Here is a 27,083-nt window from a genome sequence, read left to right on the forward strand (position 1 = left end):
TAAAAGGAAGATTGGCTCGGGTGAGGCTTCCATGTCTAGGAAACCCAGAGATGCATCTCCTTATGGATATAGACCTCGGAAAGACGTCCCTACAGAAGCATGGCTGTCCTAGCCCGAATGCACTGGATGGCAAAACGGATCAGATCAGAAAGATCCCAGTGGGAGAGAATGATGAGCAGAAACCAGTTGGGTCAAATATTCTTTACAATTCTCCTATTTGGTTTCAAATATCAATTGCAAAAGTTGCAATCGACACACCGGATAGCACTCTGGGGGTTCAGGAGAGCGGTCCTTAGAGCATCGCCCAGAGAACTTTTAAGAATCCCAATGCCAGGGCCACTCTTGGAGCAAATAAATGAGAATCTCCATGTGCAGGCCAGGCATCAGTAGTGTTTAACCCTCCCAGGTGATTCCAATGTGCAGCCAACATCAAAGTCAAGGACGACCGTGCTAAATGGTTATTAGGCACCTAAAGTAACTGACTGGCTTGTGCCACGAGGCAGAATCCCATGCCTTCCTTTCCAGGGAGTGGAATATCTGGTCCTGCCCCAAGCGGTCTCACCAGACCTCCTCTTCTGGAAGCCCACCCGGGAGGTCACAGCTATGGTCCCTCACATCCTCCACACTAACACTGATCCCAAGGAGATGGGCTGGAGCAAACACCATGGTGCGGTGCCATCTGAAACCCTTAGCCACCCTGCTGGAGACAGAGACAAGGCCAGCTTGTCACAGCACTAAGAAGCCTGGGTCTTACTATTTTATTTAAAAAGAAAATAATTGACAAGTACTACATGAATACATTGTCATAGAAAATTTCTTTTTTTTTTGAGACGGAGTCTGGCTCTGTCGCCCAGGCTGGAGTGCAGTGGCGCAATCTCAGCTCACTGCAAGCTCCGCCTCCCAGGTTCACGCCATTCTCCTGCTTCAGCCTCCCGAGTAGCTGGGACCACAGGCGCCCGCCACCACGCCCGGCTAATTTGTTGTATTTTTAGTAGAGATGGGGTTTCACCGTATTAGCCAGGATGGGCTCGATCTCCTGACCTTGTGATCCACCCGCCTCGGCCTCCCAAAGTGCTAGGATTACAGGCATGAGCCACCGCACCCGGCCATTCTCATAGAAAATTTCTAAAGGAAATGGCCCCCAGAACTAACCACAATAATGGTTTGACATGTATCTTTCCAGGCATTTTTCTATGCAATTACCTCTATCCATAAATATATCAACATATAGTTTTTTTTATGCTTGAGGAATTATATTAGAACTTGCTTTTCAATATACCACCGAGATCATTCCATGTCAGAACTCACAGCAATGCTTCCTTTCTAAATAAAACACTGCAAATGTGATATAACATTATTCATTTAACCATTCTCCTGTTGATAAAAACTCGCATTGGCCTCAATGTTTTTGCCCTTGCAAATGTTATTTCTGAGCCTCTTTGTACGTATACCTTTGTGCACATGTCCACTTTTTAAAAACGGCAGATTCTTAGGAGTGGAGTGGCTGAGAATTCTGGACTCTCCACTCAGCTTTGTTCTTTTATTTGCCCGTTCTAATCACAAAAACTCTATATTCTGGTTTCATTCTTGGTTATAGTACGGATCTTGTTGCTGTTGTGAGTAGCTTCCTTTCCCGCTTCATTTTCTCATTAAAAATGAGTGATTTTCAGCCAGGGGTGGTGGCATGTGCCAGTAGTCCCAGCTACTTGGGAGGCTGAGCGGGGAGGATCGTTTGAGCTCAGGAGTTTGAAGCTGCAGCGAACCGTGATCGTGATCGCTCCACTGCACTTCAGCCTGGGCGACGGAGCAAGAGCCTGTCTCAAAACAAAAATGGTTTTTGAAAAATCATTGATGTTTGTATTGTGGTAAAATACATATAATGTAAAATTTACCATTTAAACATGATTACATAGCATTAAATACATTCACATTGTTGTGTAACCATCACCACCATCCATCTCCAGAACTTTATCTTCCTCCCAAACAGAAACTCTGTACCCACGAAACACTGACTCCCCATTTCCCCTCCCCCAGCCCCTGGCACCCCCCATTCTACTTTCTAAGAATTTGATGACTCTAGGGACCTCATACAAGAGGATTCATATAGTGTTTATCCTTTCATGATTGGCTTATTTCACTTGGCATAACATCCTCAAGGGTCATCCTGTTGTAGAATATGTCAGGATTTCCCTCTTTTTGAAGGCCGAATCATATTCTGATGTAAGCATATATCACGTTTTCTTTATCCATCCATCTGTTGATGAACACTTGGGTTGCGTCCACCTTTCAGCTAAGGTGAATAATGCTGCCGTGAACATGATTGTGTAAATCTCTCTTCAAGTCCCTGCTTTCAATTCTTTTAGATACATACCCAGAAGTGGAATTGCCAGGTCCTAAGGTGATTCTAGACTTAATTTTCTGAGGAGCCACCATAGTGTTTTCCATAGAGGCCGCACTGTTTTACATTCGCACGAACAGCGCACAGGGGTTCTGATTTCTGCCCCTCCTCACCAACACTTGTGATTTTGTTTTGACAATAGCCATCCTAACGGATGTGAGAGCCATTGATTTTTGTATGGCAATCTTGTATCCAACCATGTCACCAAGCTCTCAGATTAGGTTTTCATTTGATGTCTTGGATTTTCTAGGCATATTGTCACATCATCTGGAATGGTGACAATTTTGGTTTTGTTCACTTTAGTATTCGTGCCCGTTTTTCTGACTTTACTACATTGACAATGACCCACATTACAAGGTTGGAGAGAAGCAGTGATGGCAGGCACCCCTGTTCTCTTAGATTTCGCTGTTATATGTCTTAATCTCTGAGAGTCTCTGTAGCCACCCTTACCAAGTTAGGAATGAGGTGTTCTGAGCCTGGATTGCTAGGAGTTTCATCAACAATATTCACATTCGCCAAATGCTTTTTGGGGTGTCTATTGAGATGCCTGTACGACTCAGTGCAGTGAATTACATTATCAATTCCCTAATGATTCCTCCTGCTTGCGTTTGTCAGAAAAACCTGTTTGTCATAAACTACTCGTGTCCCACCCAGCGTCCCGATGAGATAAGGACTCCACAGGGACTCTGGGCTGCCCTAGGTTGCCCCAAATGAACAGGTGTCCAGTGATTGCAGAAAAAGAGGAGATGGTGATAGATATGGATCATGTCTTTGCCCCCAAAGAGGGCACATCCGTGGGAAAAAAGTCCCAAAGGAGCAAGATTCTTCAAAGAACCGTTGACCCTGTTGTAACAAGATGGAGAAAATTGTATTCATCAAAACTAACCTTGAGGAGAGGTCTGGATGCATTCAGGAGAAGTCCGTTGATTAATAGCTTGAAATGATTGAGCTGACTACCCAAGGAGACCCTCGTGTTGGGCTGAGAACCTGAAGGCTGGGCTGAGCGAGCCAGGACAGGAGCTTGGACAGAGCCTCCTTGTCTGTGGAGTGATGGGAGAGGAAGCAAAGAAGGAAGGCACAAAGCCAGAAAGCACAGCAGTAGTTGGGAAAAAGGAGAAAAAGAAAAGATGCGGCCGGGCGCGGTGGCTCACGCCTGTAATCCCAGCACTTTGGGAGGCCGAGGCGGGCGGATCACAAGGTCAGGAGATCGAGACCATCCTGGCTAACACGGTGAAACCCTGTCTCTACTAAAAATACAAAAAATTAGCCGGGCGTAGTGGCGGGCGCCTGTAGTCCCAGCTACTCAGGAGGCGGAGGCAGGAGAATGGTGTGAACCTGGGAGGCGGAGCTTGCAGTGAGCTGAGATCGCACCACTGCACTCCAGCCTGGGCGACAGAGCGAGACTCCGTCTCAAAAAAAAAAAAAAAAAAAAGAAAGAAAAGAAAAGATGCAAACCCTGGCATTGAGGCCCCCCCAAAGCCACCAAGGAGGGCCCCTGGGAGAGCGCGAACTCTGCTCCGGCTGCGGGTGGTTGCTGTGGTCTGTGCCTGTCACTCCCTGCTTGCTGAGGCTTTCGTGCCTCGGGTCCACTGGGGAGCAGGAGAAAGTGCCCAGTTCTGTCTGTAGAGAGGACGTCACTCAGGGAGAGGGGCAGGAGCTGAGGGCACGTGACTTACACCAAGGCTAAGGTGCAACGCGAAGGCCCTGACACCTGAGCCCCTGGGAGTTGAAAGGTGACAGGCTAACTTGGGGGATGAGCGGTAGAGTCCGGAGGTTCTAAATGGAGCACAAGTGGACCCTCGAGCGACCTGAGAATACAACCCAGAGGGCTCATGAACTGACATGGGAAAACAATGACATCTGTTTTCACTCACCTCTGGTTGAAACTGAGCAGTTCCTTGTATTATGAACATAGGTGGCAACCACTTAGTGTTAGCCAGCAGAAATAACGGGAAGTTTCATTCCACACTTTCGTTGTTGCCAGTATCTCAAAATGTTATTCAGGCTCATTGCTATTTCAAAATCCCATGGTCAGAGACCCATCCTCCCGGGTATCAGAAAGCATGGGAGCCCTGACCCTGACGGCCACCAGGCTGCAGGCAGAGGGGCATGGCCCACTTGGACCTGAGGGTGTGTCATTCAATCCAGCAAACATTCATTGAGCACATTCTCTGTGCTGGCCACCAGGTCCAAAGATGAACAAGGCCGAGACCCCGCCAGGAGGAACTCAGGGAATGCGACAGGCACAGATGAGCAAGACAATAGTGACAACGCAGCATGATTCATGCTGAGAGTGCCGGGGAGGGCGGGAGGCCAGGCAGGGTTTCTCACGGGAAGTCACATTTGAACTGGCTTTCTCACACTTGTGAAAGTGCGCCCAAGGACGCAGGACTTTCCTGAACCAGAAAAATCCCTGCTCGCGAGTGTGCACATCTCCGCTTAGAGTGCAGAGGAGCAAACAGCAGAAACTTCCCCCGGCTGTGGAGCCGAAACAGGAAACCACCCAGGAGCCCTGTGCAGAAGCGGCCGGGGATTCCCAGTTCCCCAGGACCCAGTGGGCGTTTTCACAGGAAGCCTCTCTGGGTGAAGCCCCTGCTGTACCCGTCCCGCTAGGGATGGAGGCTCCATGAGGTCACAGGTTGTTTTCTGTTTCGTTGGCTAATGAATCTCAAGCATCTATGCCTGGCACGGATTTGCTTTCTACAAATATGTGTTAAATGAATGAAGAAACACAACTGGATCCTTCCAAAATTGACAGGGGCCCAGCACAGTGTCTCATACCTGTAATCCCAGGACTTTGGGAGGCCGAGGCAGGAGGACTGCTTGAGGCCAGGAGTTTGAGACCAGCCTGGACATTGTATTGAGACCCTGTCTTGACAAAGAAATTGTTTTTAATTAGCTGGGCATGGTGATGCACATCTGTAGTCCCAGCTACTCTGGAGGCTGAAGTAGGAGGATCACCTGAGCCCAGAAGCGCAAGGCTGTAGTGAGCAGTGATTGCACCACTGCACTCTAGCCTGGGCAATAGAGTGAGACCCTGTCTAATTTTTTAAAAAATGCTGGGGGCAGCTGGATAAGGCAGGCCGTGGCTCTGTCTCTGTGTGTGGCACTTGTATCTCCAAATCGCCATGGTGCCCTGCATGTAGGTGACCTAGGAAGACACCTCCTCCAGGTCCAGCAGATGTGGAACTGTTTCATGCCATTGAGCAGGTGGAGTGCTGTTGAGGTATGGCTTACTCTGCCCTCTCCCGGGACCACAGGGTGCGCTCTCGCGGGGGTCTGGAGAATCCTAGCAGGTGTCTGAGCTGCCTGGATTAGGGATCTCTTTCCTCAGAGTGTGATCTGAGCTGGAAGGATGGGTTCCAGGCTAGTGGGGGAGGGCTGGGACTATCTTCTCTGGGAGCCTCCATCTTTGGCTCACAGTGGGTGGGCACAGGCACCTCACAAGGCCTGACAGAGGCCAGTCCCCGATCAGTGTAGGGAGAGCAGAGCATTGGAAACCATTGACCAACTTCACCTCCATCACTTCCAGCGAAGTCAGGGGCATACTGCACCCCCACATATTTGTAGGTTGAAGTCCTAACCTCCAGTACCTCAGAATGGGACTGTATTTGGAGACAGGATCTTTAAAGAGGTGATTATGATTAAAAAAGGTCCCATGACTCGTGTCCCTACAAGAAGAGGTGATTAGAACACAGACGCACACAGAGGGAAGACCACGTGAAGCCCCTGGTGGAAGACACTGTGGAGAGGCTCAGGGGAAAGCAGCCCTGCCCGCACCTTGAACCAGGTCCTCCCAGCTTCCAGACGGCGAGGAAATACATTTCTGTCGTCAGAGGCCCCAAGTCTGCTACGGTGGCCTGAGTCTGTTACTGCAGCCCTGAGTCTGTTACAGCGGCCCCGGAGACCCGGCCGAGTCTTCTCACTCAATGAACTTCTTCAATGGGCTCCTCAAGGTGACACCCACATTGTCACCACAAAGAAGAAATAAACAGAGCTGCCCTCCAGAGTCATAGGTCAGAAAGGCCTCGTGACTCAGGAGTGGGTTATCTGGGTGACCTTACTGCTCACTCAGTAAGAAAAACAGCCTTTCAGGCCTGCACTTCCCAGCAGCATAGCCTGCTCCTTCCTGGCTGATGTCAGAGGGCCCGAGTTCCGATAAGCCGCTGTTTGCTAACGTAGGTCTACACAGGTATAACCGCGGGCCCTGAGTCAGGTGAAAGGCCTGATGTCTGCGGGAAGCTTAGTGGGTTTTTATGTGAAAAAAGAAAAGTCTTACGCCATTGGCTGTCTTTCAGCAGGGCTGTTAGAAACGCACCTGGCTCAACAGCACCAAGAGGATGATGAAAGTAAGTCCAGTCTGGGAGTTCCGTGAGGGATTGGCAGCCAGTCTTCACATTTTAAATACATTTTACTTATTAACTGGAAATGCCTTGGGGAACTCTGGCAAGCATGCAGGGACCCCATTCTCTCCACCCCTCTCAGCTCACTGTTTCTTCATTGCTGGGCCTGTCTCTGCCTCCAGCTGGGCTCCACTTTTTTTATTTTTATTTTTATTTTTATTTTGAGACAGGGTCTCAATCTGTTGCCCAGGCTGGAGTGCAGTGGCAGGACCATGGTTCACTGCAGCCTCAACCTCCTGGGCTCAAGCCCAGCTCAGTCACTGGGACAACAGGTGCGCGCCACCATGTGGGCTCCAGTTTAACACGTCCAAACCTCCCTGTACCTTTGGGAAAGTCCAGGCAATTTCTTGGTTTCCCAAATAAGAGTCACTGACGGCCAAAACTCCTTTATCCTTCCCATTGGGGCATTTCCCCTACCATGGTCCACACTGCCTGCCTGACATTGTTAATGAATCCTTCGTGGGCCTAAGCCTGGCAGAGCAGGGCAGGTAGGGATTCCGGAGGTGCAGGTTTTGCTCTTACCTGGCAGAGTAGCTTCCCATTCTGGGCTTCAGTTTGCTCCTCTGCAGGATGAGGATCATAATAACAGCTCCTCAGAGGTCCTTTGTGAATATTAAGGGAGTCACATGTGTATAAACTGTGTCTGGGGTACAATAAATGCTAAAGGTCCCTTCCCTTCCATCCCTTTCCTCCCCCTTGATGGCAGGACTGTGGCTCCGCCTCCTGTCTCCCCTCCTCACCAAGCGCAGTGCTATGCACACACTGAGATCTGAATACAAACGTGCTGATGAATGGATTCCCTGACCTCAGCATGCACCCCATCGTGTATCACTCACCTGTATCTGCCTCAGCTGGGACTGGCTTTGATGAATGTGAATCTTTAAACTATAATAATTCATGCTCTTGTAGAAAGCATGGCACATGTTTGCAAACACAAAGAAGAAAATAAATATAGTCAAGACCACAGAGTCTGTGTTCCTCAACTGCCTTGAGCTCTCCATGATAATTGTCCCAGAGCATTTTAGAGTAACCGCTTGGCTTCTCAAGGCTCCAAGAAAAAGAATTTCTTTATAGCAGAGCTACATTTAATAGCTTTTTATCTTACAACAGATGAAGTACCTGTATATACCAGGTCCTGTCTCACACTTCTGCCCTGTGAACAATAAAAATCTCCTCCTGCACCAGAAACACTATTGTGAAAGCTGCCTGGATACTTCGGCCTCTCAGCTGACAATGAGTACCTTTTAACCCAGGTTGATAATTCAGAGAAAAGAATTTCTCAAGGCTGGGTGCGGTGACTCACACCTGTAATCCCACACTTTGGGAGGCTGAGGCAGGAGGATCACTGGAGCCCAGGAATTCAAGACCAGTCTGGGCTACAAAACTAGACCTTGTCTCTACTAAATAAATAAATTAGCCAGGCTTAGTGGCATGTGACTGTAGTCCCTGCTACTCAGGAGGCTGCGGTGGAAAGATTGCTTGGGCCCAGGAGGTTGAGGCTGCAGTGAGCTGTGATCACGCCACTGCACTCCAGCCTGGGCGACAGAATGAGACTGTCTCAATAAATAAATAAGTAAATAAAGTATTTTGGTCCTGAGAATATCTGCTTCTCTGTGCAATTTTTCTTCATCGTGTTTATGCTGTGCACTCCACTCTGAAATATACTAAATACCTAGAATATATTATATGGGCATATGTACATATGATGTGTGTCTGTATATATGCATGTATGTACCCACAGGTGCTTGCATGCACACATGTGTGCACACACACACAGACACACACAAACATGCACACTCACACACAGACACACACAAACACACACAGAGCCACGCACAGACACACAAACACACAGACACACAGTCACACGCACACACATAGATACACACATAGACACACACACACACACACACAGACCCACAGACACACGCACACACACACAGAGCTTCACTCAGAGCCCAGCAGATATGCAATAAATTACAGCTATTTTTATTATTGATGCTTCCGATGACAGTCTGGACTTTAGAACCCTGTTCCTGGGGCTCCAGGAAGGCGGACCCCAAGACGCCTAGGAGCGCCGCCTGCTGCGGACGCAAAACCTGCGCCCCCCAGCGGACGCTCTGGGTTCTTGCTCATAAAATAAATCAAACTCGTGCCTGCGCCTCCTTGTGGTGGGAAGGGAGCATGACGCGGTGACTGGCCCGGGCGCTGACAGTTTCCTTGCTGTGATGTCAGCCCCCGCCGCAGATGTGGTTACCCCCACGCTTTCTGCTGGCTGACTGGTATTCATGAGCATAATATAACATTAGCTATATAGCGGGCGCTGTGCTAAGGAAGCCCTTTCCAAACCCCATCTCATGAAATATTTATGACAACGCTATTGTGTAACTATTGTTAGCATTGCCATGTAAAGAGCAGAGAGCCACAGCTCAGAGAGGTTGAGTTGCCGGTCCAGAGTCACGCAGCACAGAGGAAATGGGTATAGGACTTAACCCCAGGCCAGGCCCACTCTCTGAGCCACTTACCCTCTGCACGAGTACCACCAGGTATGGTTAGAGTGGCCTGTCTTAAACGCAAGATCCATGCAGGCCCCTTTGAAAGAAAATACTTTCTTGTGAATTAAAAAAAATAAAAATAAAAAAATAAAAGGAGACTTCAGTTTGAGAAACTGCATTAAAAATAAAACCCTGCAAGGGCAGGAGATCGGCAGGCACATCCCACCATCAACACAACACGGGCCTGACCCTGCAAGCATCGTGCTTCCCTAGAACGCACCATCCAGTTGGTCCAAAAAAAGACCTACTCATTTTTTAAGATTATCATGGACTTGAAAACATCACCAAATTTAATTCCCGAAGGACATGTGACAAGGCACCACCTTCCTCCCTCCACTCTGCCAAGCATTTTTAATGGGCCTTGGTGTAATAAACCCTAGTCTAGAATATGGGAAAAGAATAAAGTCATAGGTGTCACTTTGTCCAGTTAATAGTGATCATAATCACACTTCTGGTTGGCTAGTCCTTTAATCTTCCATTTATAAAAATTCCCTTAATATCCACATGCAGAAGAATGAAATGCCTCTTATCTCACACCATATACAAAAATCAACTCAAAATGGATTAAAGACTGAAACATAAGACCTGGAAGCTGTAAAAGTACTAGAAGAAAATATAGGGGGAAATCTTTATGATGTTAGTCTGGGCAATGATTTCTTGGATATAACCCCAAAAGCACAGGAAACAACAGTGGAAATAGATAAACAAAACTGCATCCAATTAAAAGGCTTCTGTGGAGGAAAGGAAACAACAGAGAGAAGAGATAGCCTACAGAATAGGAAAAAATATTGTAAACCCATGCATCTGATAAGGGGTTAACATCCAAAATATATTCGGAACCCAAACAACTCAATAGTAAGAAAAGAAATAATATGATTTGAAAAATGGGCCAAGGACCTGAATAAACATTTATCAAAAGAAAGCATACAAATGGCCAACAGGTCTATGAAAAATTGTTCAACATCACTAATCATTAGAGCAATGCAAATTAAAGCCACAGGGAGCACCACCTCACACCTGTTAGAAAGGCTATTACCAAAGAGATGAAAGATGTGTTGGTGAGGATGTGGACAAAAAGGGAACCCTTGCACACTCTTGGTGGAAACGTAAATTTGTACAGCCATAATGGAAAGCAGTATGGAGGTTCCCAAAAAATGAAAAATAGAATGGATATGATCTGGCAATCTCACTACTAGGTATATATCCAAGGACAACAAAATCAGTATCTTGAAAAGATACCTGCATTCCCATATTTATTGCAGATACTTGTTGCCCTCTTCCAAGGGCTCTAGGGGAGGATCCTTCCTGACCTCCTCCAGCTAAGCTTGTGGCCACGTGGGCTTGTCACTCTGACCTCTACCTCATCTTCACATCACCTTCTCCTCTGTGTGTCCTCACATCTTCCTCTGCCTCTCTCTTAAAACAACTCTTGTGATGACATCCAGGGCTTATCTGGCAATAAGACGGGACGCTCTCCTCATCCAAAGGTCCTTAGTCACATCTGCAAAGACCTTTTCCCGAAATAAGGCCACATTTACAGGATCCATGGACTATGATGTGGACTTACCTTTGGGGAGCCATTTTTCAGCCTACCACGTGTGGGACGCAACAGACAAGCTGCGCTCGCTTGAGCTGAGACTTGTTGGAGCTGTTCACCCTCCCCAGGGCTGGAATCAGAGGTGAGGCTGACAGCACGAGGACAAGAGGCTTTTGACAGGACAAAGTGGGACAGAACTGTGCACCTTTGGCCAAAACAGCAGAACTGGCATGATAACCATGCAAGCAAGTCTCTGCAATGTGAAGGACTGCGCAAATGTTCCTACTCAAGTGCACCTACTCAAGTGTGGCACTGGCTTGATTCATTTCTGCAGGAGAGAGCCAGTTACCACTTACCAGTTCTGTCCAGGGAGGCATAATTAAGATAACCTGGGATTGACAGCTGCTACAGCTTCTTCTACACGGGTTTGCTTTTCACTCACCTTTGACGTTACTGGAATAATTGCAGCAGGTGCCTGCCTGGTCGTCAAATCTTGTCCCCAAAGGGCAAATCTGCCCGTGCTCCATCGTATCGGGGACATCAGTGGCTCCCAGTGCCCACCGTCCTTCTACAGTGCTACAGGGTAGCGCTTCTTTACACTGGCAACCCCTTAGTTTCTTAGTCCCCTGCTTATGGGAAGTGGGGATTTGAAGACACGAGGGGCAGAAAGACAGACTTTCATAGCATCGTAACACACTGCTGTTGAAAGTCAGTGAATATTAGACAGAGGAGGGTTTATGGTGCGAGATTCTCCACTCTGGGACACCGGAAGCTCTGAAGACTTCGGACCAGAGCAGCCCTTCCGTGATGGTGCTGGATCGACCCCTGTTCTGTGCTGGCTACGTAACCACTGGCTGAATGGATAAATGTATCAAAGACAAGCTAGTAACAGCATTCGTAATTCAAAAGTACTACCAAATTGTGATCAGCTTACTGCATATGGTTATGCATTGATGTCGTCCAAAATTCGGAAGGTGCAGAAGGATGCACGCCCCTCCCCCAGGTCTTGGTAGTGGCAACCAGTGTCACCAGCATCACGTGTATCCTCGCAGGATATCTTCTGCATCTATGAGCAAAAACGTGCACGCACCGCTGCTTTTTTCATTCTTGATAGCTTAGAAATCATTCCGTAGGAGGGAGGGGCATTCAGGATGCTACCCCAAAACATGTACCTTGGCATAGTGAATATTTTAAGCTGAAGGAATTTGAGAACTGGTAAGTAGAGAAAGGGTTCCCTGACTTTCCCCTGAAGCAGGTCAGGAGACCCTCATGTGAGAGGGAGACAGGGGGACCCCAGGAACAATCTGAATGCACAGACCTTGCTAACTTTCCCCCAGTTTACTACTCTTAGCTCATACCTTTTCTGTCCTACCACATTTTTCTATGACTCAGCATTCTATCAAATCAAGGCTAGAAACACTCAGGTTTAAGCATTTCTTCAGGTCCCTATTTCCTTATGAAGGCTCCCATGTCAGGTAACATTTAAATAAATTTGTATTCTTTTCTCTTGTTCATCTGTCTTTTGTTACAAGGGCCCCAGCTGAGAACCTAGAAGGGTAGAAGGAACATATTTTTCCCCCACCTACAGTAGTGTTTTAAAGGAATTCCTTTATTCTTTTTTTCTTTTACAGTTGCCTATTGTTTCACTGTATAGCTGTGCTATGTGGACATTTTGTTTCCAGCCTTTTGCAAGCCAAAGAGCAATTAATTACCTTTTCAAAATAATATTCATTCATGCAAGGGTATCTGCAACAAAAAGAAGTGGATTTTCAAAAGGTTTCAAAAGGTATGTGTATTTGCAATTTTGATAAATATTGCCAGAATGACTGCCAAAGAGGTTATACCAATTTACACCCTCCCCCTGCAAGAAATAAGAGTTGCCAACAGAGTATATTATCAAATGTTTTAATCTTTGCCAATCTAATAGATAAAAATGACATGAGTATAATTTTAATTTGTACTTTTCTTATGAGTAAGATTGCACATCTCTTTATATGTTTAAGACCCTTTTGTACCTTGTATCTGTGAGTAGGTAGGTCATTTCCTTTGACCATTTTGTTGTTGTTCTTTTTTTCTTATTGGTTTGTATCTAGAGCTCCTTATCTACTAGGGAAATTAAGCCTTTGCTGGAATATTTGTAGAATGAAGTAGAAATTACACAATGTTTAAGCATTTAAAATGTTTCTTCTCTCATTTTGTGTATAGTTAATTGTAATAGCATAATTGATTATGCAAGGTCGTTTTCTTATTTATTTCTGGAGATTAGATCAATCCATTGATTTTAAATGTGGTACACTTTCCCAAGTTTCATTTTTGCATGAGTTAAATCTTTTTGTGGTGCTTAACTTGCGTTCTCTGAGATTTTATTAATATTTTGGCTCATGCTGTTTCCACCACCTGACATATGTCCTGATGGGACCCATCCTCCCAGCATCCTAAACCCAAACCAAGCCCCCCGGCCTTCCTAAAACGTGCCCCACTGCTCCCATCCACACAGTCTCTCCCTTCTCTGGGCCTCTGGAGGGATGAAACACTGAAATTCATGCCACAAAGTCTCACACTGCTGGGTAGTGTTCTTGGTTGTTTTGCATGTATAAATCTCATCCTACTTTGACAGAAAACTTCTACCAAGAAAGGAAGCGCATCTTTCATGTCTTCACATTCCTTGAGATTCTCCTGGGGACAGAGTATGAACATGAGAAATACTTATTAACTTAAAATAACTTCTAGAGGATCTTAATCTATGCTCCAGGGATACAATTCAGGGTGTCCTGAATTATATTATTATATTACATTTTTGTGATATTAATTTATATGCTATTACTGCTGGTGTCCTCATAAGAAGAGAGAGACACAGAGTGAAGACGGCCATAGAAAGACGGAGGCAGAGATTGGAGGGTTGCCGCCACAAGCCAAGGAATGCCTGGGGCCGCCGCAAGCTGGAAGAGGCAAGAAAGCCTCCTCTTCTGCAGGCTGCAGAGGAAGCATGGTCCTGCTGACATGTTGTACTTAGACTTCCAGCCTCCAGAACGGTCAGACCATACACTTCTATTATGTTAAGCCACCTAGTTTGTGGAACTTTTTAGGCAACCCTAGGGAACCCACAGACACACTGAGTATAAGTTTATCACCAATAGAAATCACGGATGTTTTCATGCAAGATTATGGTTGCTGCAGATATCTGCAAATGTTGTTTAAGCTCATCACTACTTTGAAATTATAGTGGTTATTAGACCCAAAGCGAAATATTTTAACTTAATTGGGTAATAAATAACTTATAAATTTGTTTTTAAATATTTTGATATTTTCATAACTTTATTCAATATAATGATTTTCCTTATGATTCTCTTTATCTTATGCATTTTAAAGCATAATTCCGGGAGGAGGTCTGCAGGCTTCACCAGAATGCCAAAGGGGTTCCATTAAGTTCGGCCTGAGATGCAGTACTCCAACATATCCAGAAGAGGGCACTAGAGCACCTAGGCAAAGTTTCCCAGAAATTAACACTGATCATTTTACTGTATTTCCCTATATTGCAGATACAGAAATGTGCTTTAAATTCATATTGTCTTTAGAATATTATGTGATCAGAATATGGAAATACTTTCAGGCCTGCCTTCCTATTTGTTTGTTAACTTAAATTTTCCATACCATTTTTTCCTTATTTTTTTTTTATCGAGGTAAAATATACATACATAATTTACCGTCTTTACCACTTTTAAGTGTGCAATTCAGTGGTAATAAATACATTTATATCTTTTTTCATACCATTAAAAAATGCTGACATGAACAGTTGGTGTTGAAGTTATTTTTAAACTGTAGCCCATAGCTGGAACTACTTTGTAATTCCCACGTCTTAATGAAAATACGAAACGAGCATAAAATGGAAATTAAAATAAAGAATAGACCGGTCGCGGTGGCTCACGCTTGTAATCCCAGCACTTTGGGAGGCCAAGGCGGATGGATCATTTGAGGTCAGGAGTCGGAGACCAGCCTGGCCAATATGGTGAAACCCCGTCTCTACTAAAAATACAAAAATTAGTCGGTCATGCTGGCGGGCGCCTGTAATCCCAGCTACTTGGGAGGCTGAGACGGGAGAATCGCTTGAACCTGGGAGGCAGAGGTTGCAGTGAGCCAAGATGGCGCCATTGCACTCCAGTCTGGGCGACAAGAGTGAAACTCTGTCTCAAAAAATAAATAAATAAATAAAATAATAATAATAATAAAAGAATAGCCTGAGCATGTTACAGATGTACACAAAATACGCACTAGTGTGCATCCATAGTGATGATGGCAGTGTGGGTGCCCTGCAGGAGAGAAGGACCTTCTAGGTTCCTGTCGAGCCCAAATAGAACATTCTCCAGAGACGCCCTTAGTGTATGCAATGTACTGCAGCCCTTTTTTTCTTTTAAAACAAAAAAAAACAAAACAAAACCTTTCAAATAGCGTTTTCTGAGAGTCTGATGGCTTTGATATTTGCTCAGTTATCCCAAAGAACTGACTTGCTGAGCTATTCACCTGCTTATGGTATGCAGCGATTTTGACCTGGAGGCCAGTTCGAAGGCAGGACATTTTTTTCCCCTTCTCTTTCTCCCATCATCTATCCCAGAACCCACGGCCCTCCAGAGACAGCAAATTCGCAGCTTTCTGTCTGGAAGAACAAGATTGGAGAAGGAGGACCAGGCACTCCTAGGGGGAGCCCCACCTAATTCTGGCATTCAGCATGCTGGGCGAGGCCTCTGAATTAACAGCAAAGTTTCCTAAGCATCGCAGAAGTGCGTCCCAGCCCCCGGCTATCCCTGCGGTCAGGATATAGGGGAGAAATCGTCCCCAAACCCCGAAACTCTACATAGAGCAGGGCTCCCTCCTCACCGAACTGGATGGCATAATTTTGGTTTTAATGGATACGACTTCAAATCCTAATGTAAATCCTAAATGATATTGGTGTTGGGGCTCAGAAAACGATGCGCCAAAGTATGGCGCTTTGGCAGGCCGAGAACCGTGAGCTAAAGCAGATTGGAAGGCCTCAGAAGAAGCCTCAGAAGCAACGTCTCTCTGACCTTCTCCTGCCTTCCTGACCTGCCACCCGCCCCCATCACCCCCAGACAAGCCCTAGAAACCAGAGTTCCTCTTCCCCAAGGCAGCCATAGAAACTAGAGCTCCTCTCCTAAAAATAAAAAGCAAGCCGTGGAAGCTAGAAAGATCGCTCTCCCTTCTCTCTGGAAGACCCTCATTCCAGAGAGGTTCTGCCCACACCCAGGAGGAAGGAATGTTGCACAGAGAGGCCGAGAAGTATCTGGAAGACAGACCCTGCTGGGTTCCGCACGCAGTCTCTCGCCGTTAGATCACACCCTTTCGTCCACTCCCATTTCTGCATGGCTGTTCACTCTTCATTGAATTTAAGCATCAAAACAGTATTCCCTGGTCTTAGAACTTCCTTGCTGAAGGCTCTGTGTCACGTAAAACTTTGATTACATAAACTTGTGGCCGGGCACAGTGGCTCACACCTGTAATCCCAGCACTTTGGGAGGCCAAGGCAGGTGGATCGCTTGAGCCCAGGAGTTCAAGACCAGCCTGGGCAACATGGGCGAAACACCATCTCTACTTTTTTAAACAATAAATACAGGCCGGGCGCAGTGGCTCACGCCTGTAATCCCAGCACTTTGGGAGGCCTAGGCGGGAGGATCACAGGGTCAGGAAATCGAGACCATCCTGGCTAACACGGTGAAACCCCGTCTCTACTAAAAATACAAAAAAACTAGCCAGGCGTGGTGGCGGGCGCCTGTAGTCCCAGCTACTCGGGAGGCTGAGGCAGGAGAATGGCGTGAACCCGGGAGGCGGAGCTTGCAGTGAGCCGAGATCGTGCCACTGCACTCCAGCCTGGGAGACAGAGCAAGACTCCGTCTCAAATAATAATAATAATAATAATAATAATAATAAATTAAAAAAATAAATACGTGCATAATGAAGTTGTTATGCTTTTCTCTGGGTAACCTGCCTTGTTAGAGCCGTGTTGTCTGTGATCCTTATGATGGGGAAAAAGGGATCACACTTTTCCATCCCTACCGTTTCTGCCACCAACCCTGGGGTGCCTGAGACACCTGACTCCACCGCAGAGCCTGCAGACGCCATGCTGGGACAATTGACAGAATGCCGGCAAGGAAAATCTAAGACTCTTTAAAAGTTTTTTTAACCAAGGCCAGCTCTCCCAGATCTCTGCTTGCAGTGCCCGGTTGAGAATGGAAGGTAAAATTTTCTCTTTATTCCTTCCTTCGCAAATTCAGATTAGCAGGAGAAAATTATTTGTATGAACTAGTTTTTGGGGATTGTGACTCTGGTGATTTTTTCTTGGCATGAGAACTCTTGTTTTATGATCCCTTCCCTCTCAGAGATGGTCTTTGTTTTACAGAAACACCAAGAAGAGAGCCTAACAGAAACGCGGGTGGGACCCCGTATGCAGCTAGCGTGCCAGCTGCTGCCGGCTCTGGGAGTTACCTGTCCCTCTTCTTCTGGCTGTCTTTGGGAGGGCTGTGTCTTTGCGCTTCTTTAGAGAGACTCCACGCATCCTTGGTTAAGTCATAAAAGGCTTATTGGTTTCGATTCCAAGTCACTTGGTAGATACCTTTGGTTTTCTTTCTTTTTTAAAAAGGCGGAAAAGTACAATACTGCCAGGAATATTTGCTGTTTGTCCTGGCTAAAATCTGATAGTGCAATATTTCAAAGGATTTTTTTTTTTTTTTTTTGGAGACGGAGTTTCACTCTTTTTGCCCAGGCTGGAGTGCAATGGTGAGATTGCAGCTCACTGCAACCTCTGCCTCCCAGGTTCAAGCAATTCTCCTGCCTCAGTCTCCCTAGTAGGATGGATTACAGGTGTGCGCCACCACACCTGGCTATTTTTAGTACAGACAGGGTTTCACCATGTTGGCCAGGCTGGTCTCGAACTCCTGACCTCAAGTGATCCACCCACCTCAGCCTCCCAAAGTGCTGGGATTATAGGAGTCAGCCACTGCACCCGGCTAGGTTTTTTTTGTTTTTTTTTTTTGTTTGTTTTTTTTAAGTGCTCTATGGTCAGAAGTCGGCTTGACTGGAAGATGATATTGACGCTGTGCTTTTTTTCAGGCCTCTCTGCTCTTGTTCTCTCTTTGGGATCCTGCTTCTCCCATGGGAACTTCTCAGTTGACTGAGAATCTCTTTTCGAACCACTGATAATTACATCTCGGGCCCTCAGCCGCTTCCTTTCTTCTTGGTGTGATTTTTCCTAAGGATAATATAGAACTTCATTAGTCTTTTCGGGAAATGTGAGATCGCCCCAAATTGGCTCCTGGAAGACCTCTTCTTTCCTTTGCTTCCGCTCTTCCTCCCTTTGTCCACTTTGAGCTTCTATGCAGCTCCCTTGTACCTTTAAATACGTTCCACTTTGAGCCCCCACCTCCACCTGGTGGTCAGTGGATAGAAAATTGCTGAAAGGAAACATCGGAGGTAAAAAGGTAAGAAGGATTCTGGTCTCTACGGCTAAACTTTAGTTAAGATTCAGAACCTTCTCCCGGGCTTCTTTGCGGACTTCCTTGCAAAATTCTGTAGTGAAGTCGAGTTTATAGCCACTCTCCAGAGAGCCTTAAGACCAAATTAGAGGGAAATGTAAGTTTTCTCAGAAATGAATGTCTTGTTCATTCACATGGGTCTTTGGAAACATTCAGACAGCCCTTAGATGTCTGCTCAGTCACCAGCCTAAAATCTGGTCCACAGCCTCCGTGAGATTGACCTCTGGTTAAGAGGCTTTCCCTGTGCCCTTGAGACATAAATTTCCCACCCGTCTTCTCTAGAATTTAGTAGTTATCTTTTGAAAATACAAACTTCAGGGAGATGGTTGTCATCAGGAAAAAAAAAGGAGAGGGAAGAACCATGTTTAGTTTTTAGTTTTTTTGCTTTTGTGATATTTTGGATGCTTGCCTGATATGTCAACAAGAAAAATACTTAAGATAGTGACTAGCTTTGTTTAATATCTCCTAAAATATTCATGAACTGTTCAAGAATAATTGTTAATAAGTGAATTGAATAAGATGTGAGATAAAAGTTTGTACAAGAATTTTTCAATAATAATTATAATATACGTCTTCTTTTTTTTTTTTTTTTTTTTTTTGAGACAGGGTTCTCACACTGTCACTCAGGCTGGAGGGCAGTAGCCTGATCATAGCTATAGCTCACTGCAAGCTTTGAGCTCCTGGGCTCAAGTAATCCTCCTGCGTCAGCCTCCTGAGTAGCTGGGACTAAAGGCAGGCACCACCATGCCTGGCTAATTTTTAAGTTTTTTGTAGAGACAGGGTCTCACTATGTTGCCCAAGCTAGTCTCAAACCTGGGCTCAAGCAATCCTCCTGTCTCAGCTCCCCAGAGTGCTGGGATTATAGGCATAAGCCACCATGCCCAGCCTATAATATATGTCTCATAATAATATATGTCTACTTCAAAATAGTTTCAAAAGGCCGGGCGCGGTGGCTCACGCCTGTAATCCCAGCACTTTGGGAGGCCTAGGCGGTAGGATCACGAGGTCAGGAGTTCAAGACCAGCCTGGCCAACATAGTGAAAACCCGTCTCTACTAAAATTACAAAAAATTAGCCAGGACTGGTGGCAGGTGCCTGTAATCCCAGCTACTTGGGAGGCTGAGGCAGGAGAATCGCTTGAACCTGGGAGGTGGAGGTTGCAGTGAGCAGAGATCTCACCACTGCACTCCAGCCTGGGCAACAGTGCAAGACTCCATCTCAAAAAAAAAAAAAAGAAAAGAAAGTGGAATTTACTCTTCTCTGTTGACATGATAAAGTTTTTTTGAGGTATTGATCTGAGAATGTATGAAGGGGTTTTTTTTTCCTTTTAAAGTAATTGGCCTAGGAAACAGATTTTGTGCTTTATAAAGATAATTTCTTGTGCTTATGCTGTCTTTTATTAGGTCTTTGATTACTTAAAAAAGTGAGGCCAGGCACAGTGGCTCATGCTTGTATTCCCAGCATTTTGGGAGGCCAAGGTGGGTGGATCACTTGAGGCCAGAAGTTCGAGACCAGCCTGGGCAATATGGCAAAATCCCATCTCTACCAAAAATACAAAAATTAGTCAGTCTCATAACCTGGTCTCAAAATAAATAAATTAATTAAAATAAAATTAAAAAAAATTTTTAAGTTAGTCTTCTCAATTAAAAGAGCTAAATTTTTGTTCACAACTATGGAACTTTCTGTATGTCTTTAAAATCTTTTATTGTCACTTTAATTAAATAGATAACCAAGATCACATTTAATCAAGTGTTTTAAACCTTCTGGCATTTTTGGCAGATTTCCCAAAATCAAAGTCTAAATTAAGTCTTTATGACCGCTAATTAACTCTGGGATTTTCCAACTGGGTCCTTGAAAAGTTCAAAGGGGTCTCTTACTTTGTAAAAGAGAAATACTGAAATGACTAGGCTTTTTTGATGAGTTGAATTATATGGGAAATATTGTCAAAGAATAGGTGTTGCTAAAACTTCAAGTTATATGTATGGGTATGTTATTCACATGAGTGTTCCAAAAATTGTATGCGAGTCCTAGAAATCTAATGCTATCGGTCATAATTTTAGTTACTATGTTAAATGCTATATGCCACAAAAATAACCACATTTCCTTGCTAATTTCTGAACTTTCATCAGAAACTTCATCAGAACTTTCATCAGAATTCTAACCATCGCTATTTCAAGTCTTTGTCATCTAGTTATTGTTTTGATTCTTCTCTAAAAGCATTTACAATCAGCTACCATGTCAAATTGCGTCTCTTCATGGAGATTCATAGAAAAGACTAATGAGTACTCTTGAATACAAGTTTCGAATCTCTTTAAGATCACACCATGAGATTGGATAAGAATTTCTAGAACTCTAATGAAGAAACTGATAGCTTTATGAAACTGCTATCCTAACATCAACCAGAACAAGAATTAATTATGTGAGACTAAATGAACCTATGAGGATAATTTTTTAATGACTTTTTATTTGGAACATTGCTGATTCTTTTTTTTTTTTTTTTTTTTTTGAGATGGAGTCACTCTGTCATCCAGGCTGGAGTGCAGTGGCGTGATCTCGGCTCGCTGCAACCTCCGCCTCCCGGGTTCAAATGATTCTCCTGCCTCAGCCTCCCAAGTAGCTGGGACTACAGGCGAGCGCCACCATGCCTAAATAATTTTTGTATTTTTAGTAGAGACGGGTTTTCCCCATGTTGTCCAGGTTGGTCTTGAACTCCTGACCTCAAGTGATCCACCCGCCTTGGCCTCTCAAAGTGCTGGGATTACAGGTGTGAGCCACCACTCCTGGCCAAAAAAACTTTTTTCTTTTAAGCTACCTATAGCTTACATCAATTTGGTGAAGTATATTTTTATGAACAAAAATGGAGGCATTTACTTTTTCTCCCTACCTCATCCCTCCAGAATGTAGTAGCTATTTGTGAGTATTCTTATTTGTATGGTAATATAGTTATTTGCCTAACTTCAATTAGACTGTGTTCTCCTTGTAACAGGATACAATTGGAAACCCTGGTTATATTACCAAGGCTTTGACTGGAATGTCATATTTTCAGATATGACCAGGTAGCTTTAAGGAACTAAGGTTGACTTTACGGAGCTAATAAAGATGCCCTTGGTAAAAATGGCCTGAGGGTTCCCAGCCTTACAGGTGAGTAAGGATTGTCACTTCTTGGATGGCTCAGGAACCTCACGATATTTTGGGGCCATCGAGAAGAGAAGAATTCACCCAAATCTATAAGTGTTATAGACATAGTCTGTTGGTAAGTCCTTACTTTGGCTTCCTAACCTTGGGAGGTCCAGCTTTAGATTTCTTATGAAAAGTTCCAGCAAAGCAAATTTTACGTGGCCCATCACTATTCTCACTGCACCTATGTAAATAATCAGGCCAACTTTCATGAGACTAAACCTATTTTACAAACAAATCAGTCTTCCTTTGATTATCTTTGGTAGAAATGGGAGTGACTCTAGAGAGAAAAATTGTTGTGGAAGAGACTATACTGCACTCATTATTAGACTCTACCTCATTGTTTTTGTGGGTTCATCATCTACCTAAAATCTAGACTGAATCCTAAATTTTTTAGTTTCCTCCAATATCTGACTACAACTCTCCAAACAAATGTTCCAATTTTCCTCCCATCCCCTGGCTTGGAATTACTGAAATTAAGACCACTCTGTTTCTGGATCCCTGTGAGCTGAAGTTGGGCCACTTGTTGTAAACTTCAGGGAAAGCGCCTCAATAGCTTATTTATGGACAGCCTCACGGTGTTACTGTATGAACTACTCGGAAAGTTCACTAAGACACCTGATGCCAACTGCAGACCAGGAAAATCTGTCAGATTCCCACTGACTGGTCTTACTCCAGCTGAAGATGCTTTGAGCCTAACATCTAAAAATCCCCTTAACTGGCTGCCCTCTGGACTCAAAAACTGAGTTTATAGTTTGTTCTAATCACAAATCTTTGTTTTTCTTTGTTTTCATAGAAATGCCTCTTCTTAAATGCTTGATTGCTGTAACCACATAGAGGTGGAAGCCCATCTGCAAAACCACCTCCTAAAATGAGACACAGCTGTTAAGTGTTTAACTGAACTGAACTATTTGTGGAACTGAGAGACTGGTTCAGTGGCCTGTGGGACAATCCACCAACCCCATTTCTGGACTTTTCCCAAGAAGTTTCAGACAGGGGAATACTGGGGCTCAGAAAATGATGCTTCTAAATCTGGTGCCTTGGCATGCTGAGTACCTTGAACTAAAGGAGATTGTGAAAGCCTCAGAAGCAAAGTTGCTCTAAGACCTTCTTCCATCTTCCTGTCTCCTATCCCTCATTCTCCCCTGAAACAAGTCATGGAAACCAGAATTCCTCTTCCCTAAGGCAGATCATAGAAATTCAAACTCCTCTCTCCTAGAGCGAGCCATAAAGCCTAGGAGGCCACGCTTTCCCTTCTCTCTCTTCCCTCCTCCCTGGAGGACCCTCATTCCAGAGGTGCTGCCCCATACCCAGGAGGAAGGACTGCTACAGAGAGGCCAAGAAGCATCTGAACAGACAAGCCTTGCTGGGTTTCTGCTGTCAGTCTATTACAATTCGATCACTCTTCTGTCCAATCGCATTTTTACATGGCTGTCCATTCTTCATTGAACAGAGGCATAAAAACAGTTTTCCTTGGGTCTTTGGGTCTTCGTTTCTGAAAGCTCCTGTATCACATAAAATTTTGATTAAATTAATCTGTTAAGCTTTTCCCTTGTTAACTCCCTCTTTCATTATAGGAGTTTCAACTATGGCCCTTATGATAGCTGAGGAAAGATATCATACCTTTTCTGCCTCTGCATTGGGCAAATTACTTCTTTCTGAACATTATCTCTGCGTAATGCTTGTCACTGAAATAATACTTACCCCACAAAATACTTGTCTCTGAAATTAACTCTGAACATCAGTTTCCTACTCGATAAAATGGTGTAGCAATTGCTGTTGCATGTGGTTGTTTTAAAAATCAAATTCAAGCTGGGCATAGTGGCATGCACCTGTAGTCCCAGCTATTTGAGAGACTGAGGTGGGAGGATTGCTTGAGCCCAGGAGGTCGAGGCTGCAGTGAGCAATGATCGTGCCGTTGTACTTCAGCCTAGGTGACAAAGCAAGACCTCATCTCTAAAAAAAAAAAAAAAAAGAAAAAGAAAGAAAGAGAGGGAGAGAGAGAGGGAAGGAGGCAGGGAGGGAGGGAGGGAGGGAGGAAGGGAGGAAGGGAGGAAGTGATATGGCTTGGCTGTATGTACCCATCCAAATCTCATCTTGAATTGTACTCCCTAATTCCCACGTATTGTGAGAAGGATCTCCCGGTGGGAGATAATTGAATCATGGGGGTGGTTTCCCCCATACTGTTCTCATGGTAGTGAATAAGTCTCATGAGATCTGATGGGTTTATCAGGGGTTTCCACTTTTGCATCTTTCTCATTTTTCTCTTGCTGCCGCCATGTAAGAAGTGCCTTTCGCCTCCTGCCGTGATTGTGAGGCCTCCCCAGCCATGTGGAACTGTGAGTCCAATTAAACCTCTTTTTCTTCCCAGCCTCAGGTATGTCTTTATCAGCAGCATGAAAATGGACTAATACAGAAAGAAAGGAAAGAAAGAAAAGAAGAGAAAGAAAGAAGAAAGAAAAGAGAAAATTAAATTGTGTTTATAAAGTCATCAGTAGACAGTTAAGTATCTAGTCAATGTGAGTCCCCATTCATTCCTGCTCCCCCAAAATACACACTTTCCCCTTTGGAGACCTACCCAGACTATGTGACCTCATGATCTTAGAAAGACATAGAAAGAAGCAGAGTGGGGCTGTTTAAAGATAATTTTCAGGAAAAGATAAAATCAAGAGTCTCATTCATATATTACAACACACACATGTTAAGTGTTTTATTTGCTCCTTTGATGAGGAATTCAGGCAGATTTTACAATGGGCTCAAAAAAGAAGTCAAGAAGCACAAGTTAATATGGGTGTAAAGGAACTGTTGAATTGTGAGCGAGGCAAAACTGTTTTTTTGTTGTTGTTGTTTTTGTTTTGTTTTTTTTTTGAGATGGAGTCTCGCTCTGTCGCCCAGGCTGGAGTGCAGTGGTGCAATCTCGGCTCACTGCAAGCTCTGCCTCCCAAGTTCACGCCGTTCTCCTGTCTCAGCCTCCCAAATAGCTGGGACTACAGGCACCCGCCACCACGCCTGGCTAATTTTTTGTATGTTTAGTAGAGAGGGGTTTCACCCTGTTAGCCAGGATGGTCTCGATCTCCTGACCTCATGATCTGCCTGTCTCCGCCTCCCAAAATGCTGGGATTACAGGCGTGAGCCACTGCGCCCGGCCTAAAAACTGTTTCTTTTTAACAGGTTGGAGAGGGGAGTCAGCCAGACCTCTATCAGACAGGACAGAATTCACATGGCTGTTTTCTGTTATCTGTAGTTTGCAGAGTTGTAAAATAGCTCAGAATATGACTCAGAATCAGAAGGAAAAAAATCCTACTCTGACAAGGCATAAGAGTGGGTTAGAGATGATGCATAGTTTTTCATCGGAATACACATTTTTTTTTCTACCACTGAAGGTGTGTGCTGCAATATTTTTCTCCCTTTTTATTTCCTGCTTCCAAGACTTAGATCATACAGAAACCATCCTGCTGTGGCCCAGGCCTGTTGTGAGATCACTAAAAATCAAGGTTCTGGGTTCTGGAAAAAAAGCTTCAGACTCCAGAGACAAGCGAAGCAGTTTGCTAAGAATCAATGCATCTTGCAACAAAGAAAGCCCCAGCCGTGCAGCGCAGCCCACGCTCCTCCTCCTGCCCTGGTCCAGGTTCAGTCTCCCTGGCTCAGGCTGGCTTTAGGTCTGCAGCCCTGGGCCTGCTGGGAGGCAAATTGACCAGTGCAGCGGCTCCTACTCAATTTCACTCCCAGCAGGCTGCTCAGGGAAAACTCTCTGACCAGCAGAGCCACACCACTGGCTCCCAGTTTCAAGCCCTAGCGCTCTGCTCAATAATAAAAAAACACATTCTTTTCACACCTCCAATTCTTGAGACTCACCAGAAGGCCATGCACTCTAATTTGGGACCCCTCACCCTCACCCATTTCTGAGCTCATGAAAATATTAGTCCTAACATGGCATCATCATGTTGACAGTGGATGGGCATCTTGCCTGTGACTGTCCTTGCCAGACAGTGCCTTGCTTACCATGCAGGGTTACTAATTAAGTGCACAAAGAAAGCGATCTGGAATCGTGTGTTTTTTTTTCAATTGATTGAACTACCTGGCTTCTATGGATTAGCAAGTGGATTGGCAAGTGGATTCAGCTCCTCTTGTTGCTCCATTCCAGTCTTTTGGAGGGGATCAGAATATGCCACCTCCAAAATATGCCACTGTGGCATAAGATTATTTCGAGTTGAGGGCAATTAAGAAACAGCAGACACCAAAGGAACTCTCTTTCCTTCTGCTGTTTCCAAGTAGGCCATAAATTTCCCTTTGTAAAGGTGACATAAAATTCCATTTGTAAAGTATCCCCCTCTTCTGATGTCTCTCATACCATGAGGAGACTAACTCCAAATGGTTTTTATCTGCAAAACAAACCTTATTCACCATATGTTTCCTAGTCACCTTTCCACAATTTTCCACCCCTAGAAGCCCAAACCCTGCCTCCCTTTCTCCTTTGTTGAGTCGCCTCTCCACAGTCTATTTCCCTTCGTTAAAATGGTATATAAAGGCTGGGGGCAGTGGCTCACGCCTATAATCCCTGTACTTCGGCAGGCCAAGGCAGGAGGATCGCTTGAGGCCAGGAGTTCAAGACCAGCCTGGGCAACATGGTAAAACCCCATTGCTATAAAAAATACAAGAATTAGCTGGGCATGGTGGCATGTGCTTGTAGTCCCAGCTACTCCGGAGGCTGAGGTGGGAGGATTGCTTGAGCCCCAAGAGGTTAAAGTTGCAGTGAACCAAGATCATGCCACTGCCCTCCAGCCTGATCAACAAAGTGAGACTCTGTCTCAAAAAAAAAAAAAAAAGTTTATGGGAGTCCACTGTTTTGGACTTGCCTCCTACACTAGGTAGCCCCCAGTAGACCAGACCAAACCAGGATAGAGTCACTTGTGCTAAGTTCCACCTAATCAAACCAAACTTTGAGATGGAGCAGAGTTCCAAAAAACATCAGATTGGGGTCAACCTGAGTCAGCAAAATAAGGAAGTCCTCTCTGTTTTATCTGTTTATCTGTTGATGGACTTTTAGTTGTTTTCACTTTGGGGCCGTTATGAATAATGCTGCTAGGAAGAGATGTCTGGAAGTTTTTGTGTGAACATATGTTCTCTTGGGTATCTACCATGCAGTAGAGTGGTGGAGTCACGTGATGACTCTGTGTTAACCTTCTCAGGACCCGCCAGGTTGGTTTCCATACCAGCTGCACCACTTTACAATCCCACTGATGGGCTATGAGGGTTCCTATTTCCCTGCATCTTCACCAACACTTGTTATTATCTGTTTTTTAATGATAGCAGCTGGTTTTGATGTGTCGGGGATGATTGATGAGCGTGGCAGATCTAGGTTGGAGCGGAATGGGCGTCCACGTTAGGCTCAGTATGTATTGCACACCGTGGCAGGGAGTGTCTTCTTTTGGGTTCCCTCAGAATCAGACCCCAAGAAAAGGATTCCAATGCA

General features: G+C 44.9%; 1 long non-coding RNA gene across 3 annotated transcripts, besides 7 other annotated features; it reads right to left on the bottom strand.

Moving 5' to 3' along the window:
* Positions 1–743: 743 nt before the first annotated feature.
* LNCARGI (lncRNA antiviral response interferon signaling inducer) lies at positions 744–4,636 on the bottom strand. Of its 3 annotated transcripts, NR_197584.1 has the most exons (3): positions 4,273–4,636; positions 3,285–3,438; positions 744–1,814 (listed from the first exon to the last, which is right to left on the bottom strand). It is a non-coding gene; the product is annotated as a lncRNA antiviral response interferon signaling inducer (long non-coding RNA). The 3 variants fall into 3 exon arrangements; NR_197585.1 differs by lacking the exon at positions 3,285–3,438; NR_197586.1 differs by lacking the exon at positions 4,273–4,636 and having other exon boundaries at positions 3,285–3,989.
* Positions 3,763–3,942: an enhancer, noted in NCBI's record as "active region_7944". NCBI's record gives its function as "activates an Ori minimal core promoter by ATAC-STARR-seq in GM12878 lymphoblastoid cells {active_cell/tissue: GM12878}" and the evidence as "EXISTENCE:reporter gene assay evidence [ECO:0000049][PMID:35858748]".
* Positions 3,953–4,032: an enhancer, noted in NCBI's record as "active region_7945". NCBI's record gives its function as "activates an Ori minimal core promoter by ATAC-STARR-seq in GM12878 lymphoblastoid cells {active_cell/tissue: GM12878}" and the evidence as "EXISTENCE:reporter gene assay evidence [ECO:0000049][PMID:35858748]".
* Positions 4,276–5,475: an enhancer, noted in NCBI's record as "P300/CBP strongly-dependent group 1 enhancer chr13:100084644-100085843 (GRCh37/hg19 assembly coordinates)". NCBI's record gives its function as "activates an origin of replication core promoter dependent on BRD2, BRD4, P300/CBP, MED14 and CDK7 cofactors, with strong dependence on P300/CBP, by STARR-seq in HCT116 cells {active_cell/tissue: HCT116}" and the evidence as "EXISTENCE:reporter gene assay evidence [ECO:0000049][PMID:35650434]".
* Positions 4,483–5,212: an enhancer, noted in NCBI's record as "active region_7946". NCBI's record gives its function as "activates an Ori minimal core promoter by ATAC-STARR-seq in GM12878 lymphoblastoid cells {active_cell/tissue: GM12878}" and the evidence as "EXISTENCE:reporter gene assay evidence [ECO:0000049][PMID:35858748]".
* Positions 8,839–8,988: an enhancer, noted in NCBI's record as "active region_7947". NCBI's record gives its function as "activates an Ori minimal core promoter by ATAC-STARR-seq in GM12878 lymphoblastoid cells {active_cell/tissue: GM12878}" and the evidence as "EXISTENCE:reporter gene assay evidence [ECO:0000049][PMID:35858748]".
* Positions 25,255–25,754: an enhancer, noted in NCBI's record as "H3K4me1 hESC enhancer chr13:100105623-100106122 (GRCh37/hg19 assembly coordinates)". NCBI's record gives its function as "activates a minimal SCP1, AML or CMV promoter by ChIP-STARR-seq in naive H9 embryonic stem cells {active_cell/tissue: H9 hESC(naive)}" and the evidence as "EXISTENCE:reporter gene assay evidence [ECO:0000049][PMID:30033119]".
* Positions 26,501–26,795: a silencer, noted in NCBI's record as "tiled region #5830; HepG2 Repressive non-DNase unmatched - State 22:ReprW". NCBI's record gives its function as "represses a minimal TATA promoter and a strong SV40 promoter by Sharpr-MPRA in HepG2 cells {active_cell/tissue: HepG2}" and the evidence as "EXISTENCE:reporter gene assay evidence [ECO:0000049][PMID:27701403]".

The sequence above is a fragment of the Homo sapiens genome, chromosome 13 (assembly GCF_000001405.40).
Source record: "Homo sapiens chromosome 13, GRCh38.p14 Primary Assembly".
In the NCBI taxonomy this organism is placed as follows: domain Eukaryota; kingdom Metazoa; phylum Chordata; class Mammalia; order Primates; family Hominidae; genus Homo; species Homo sapiens.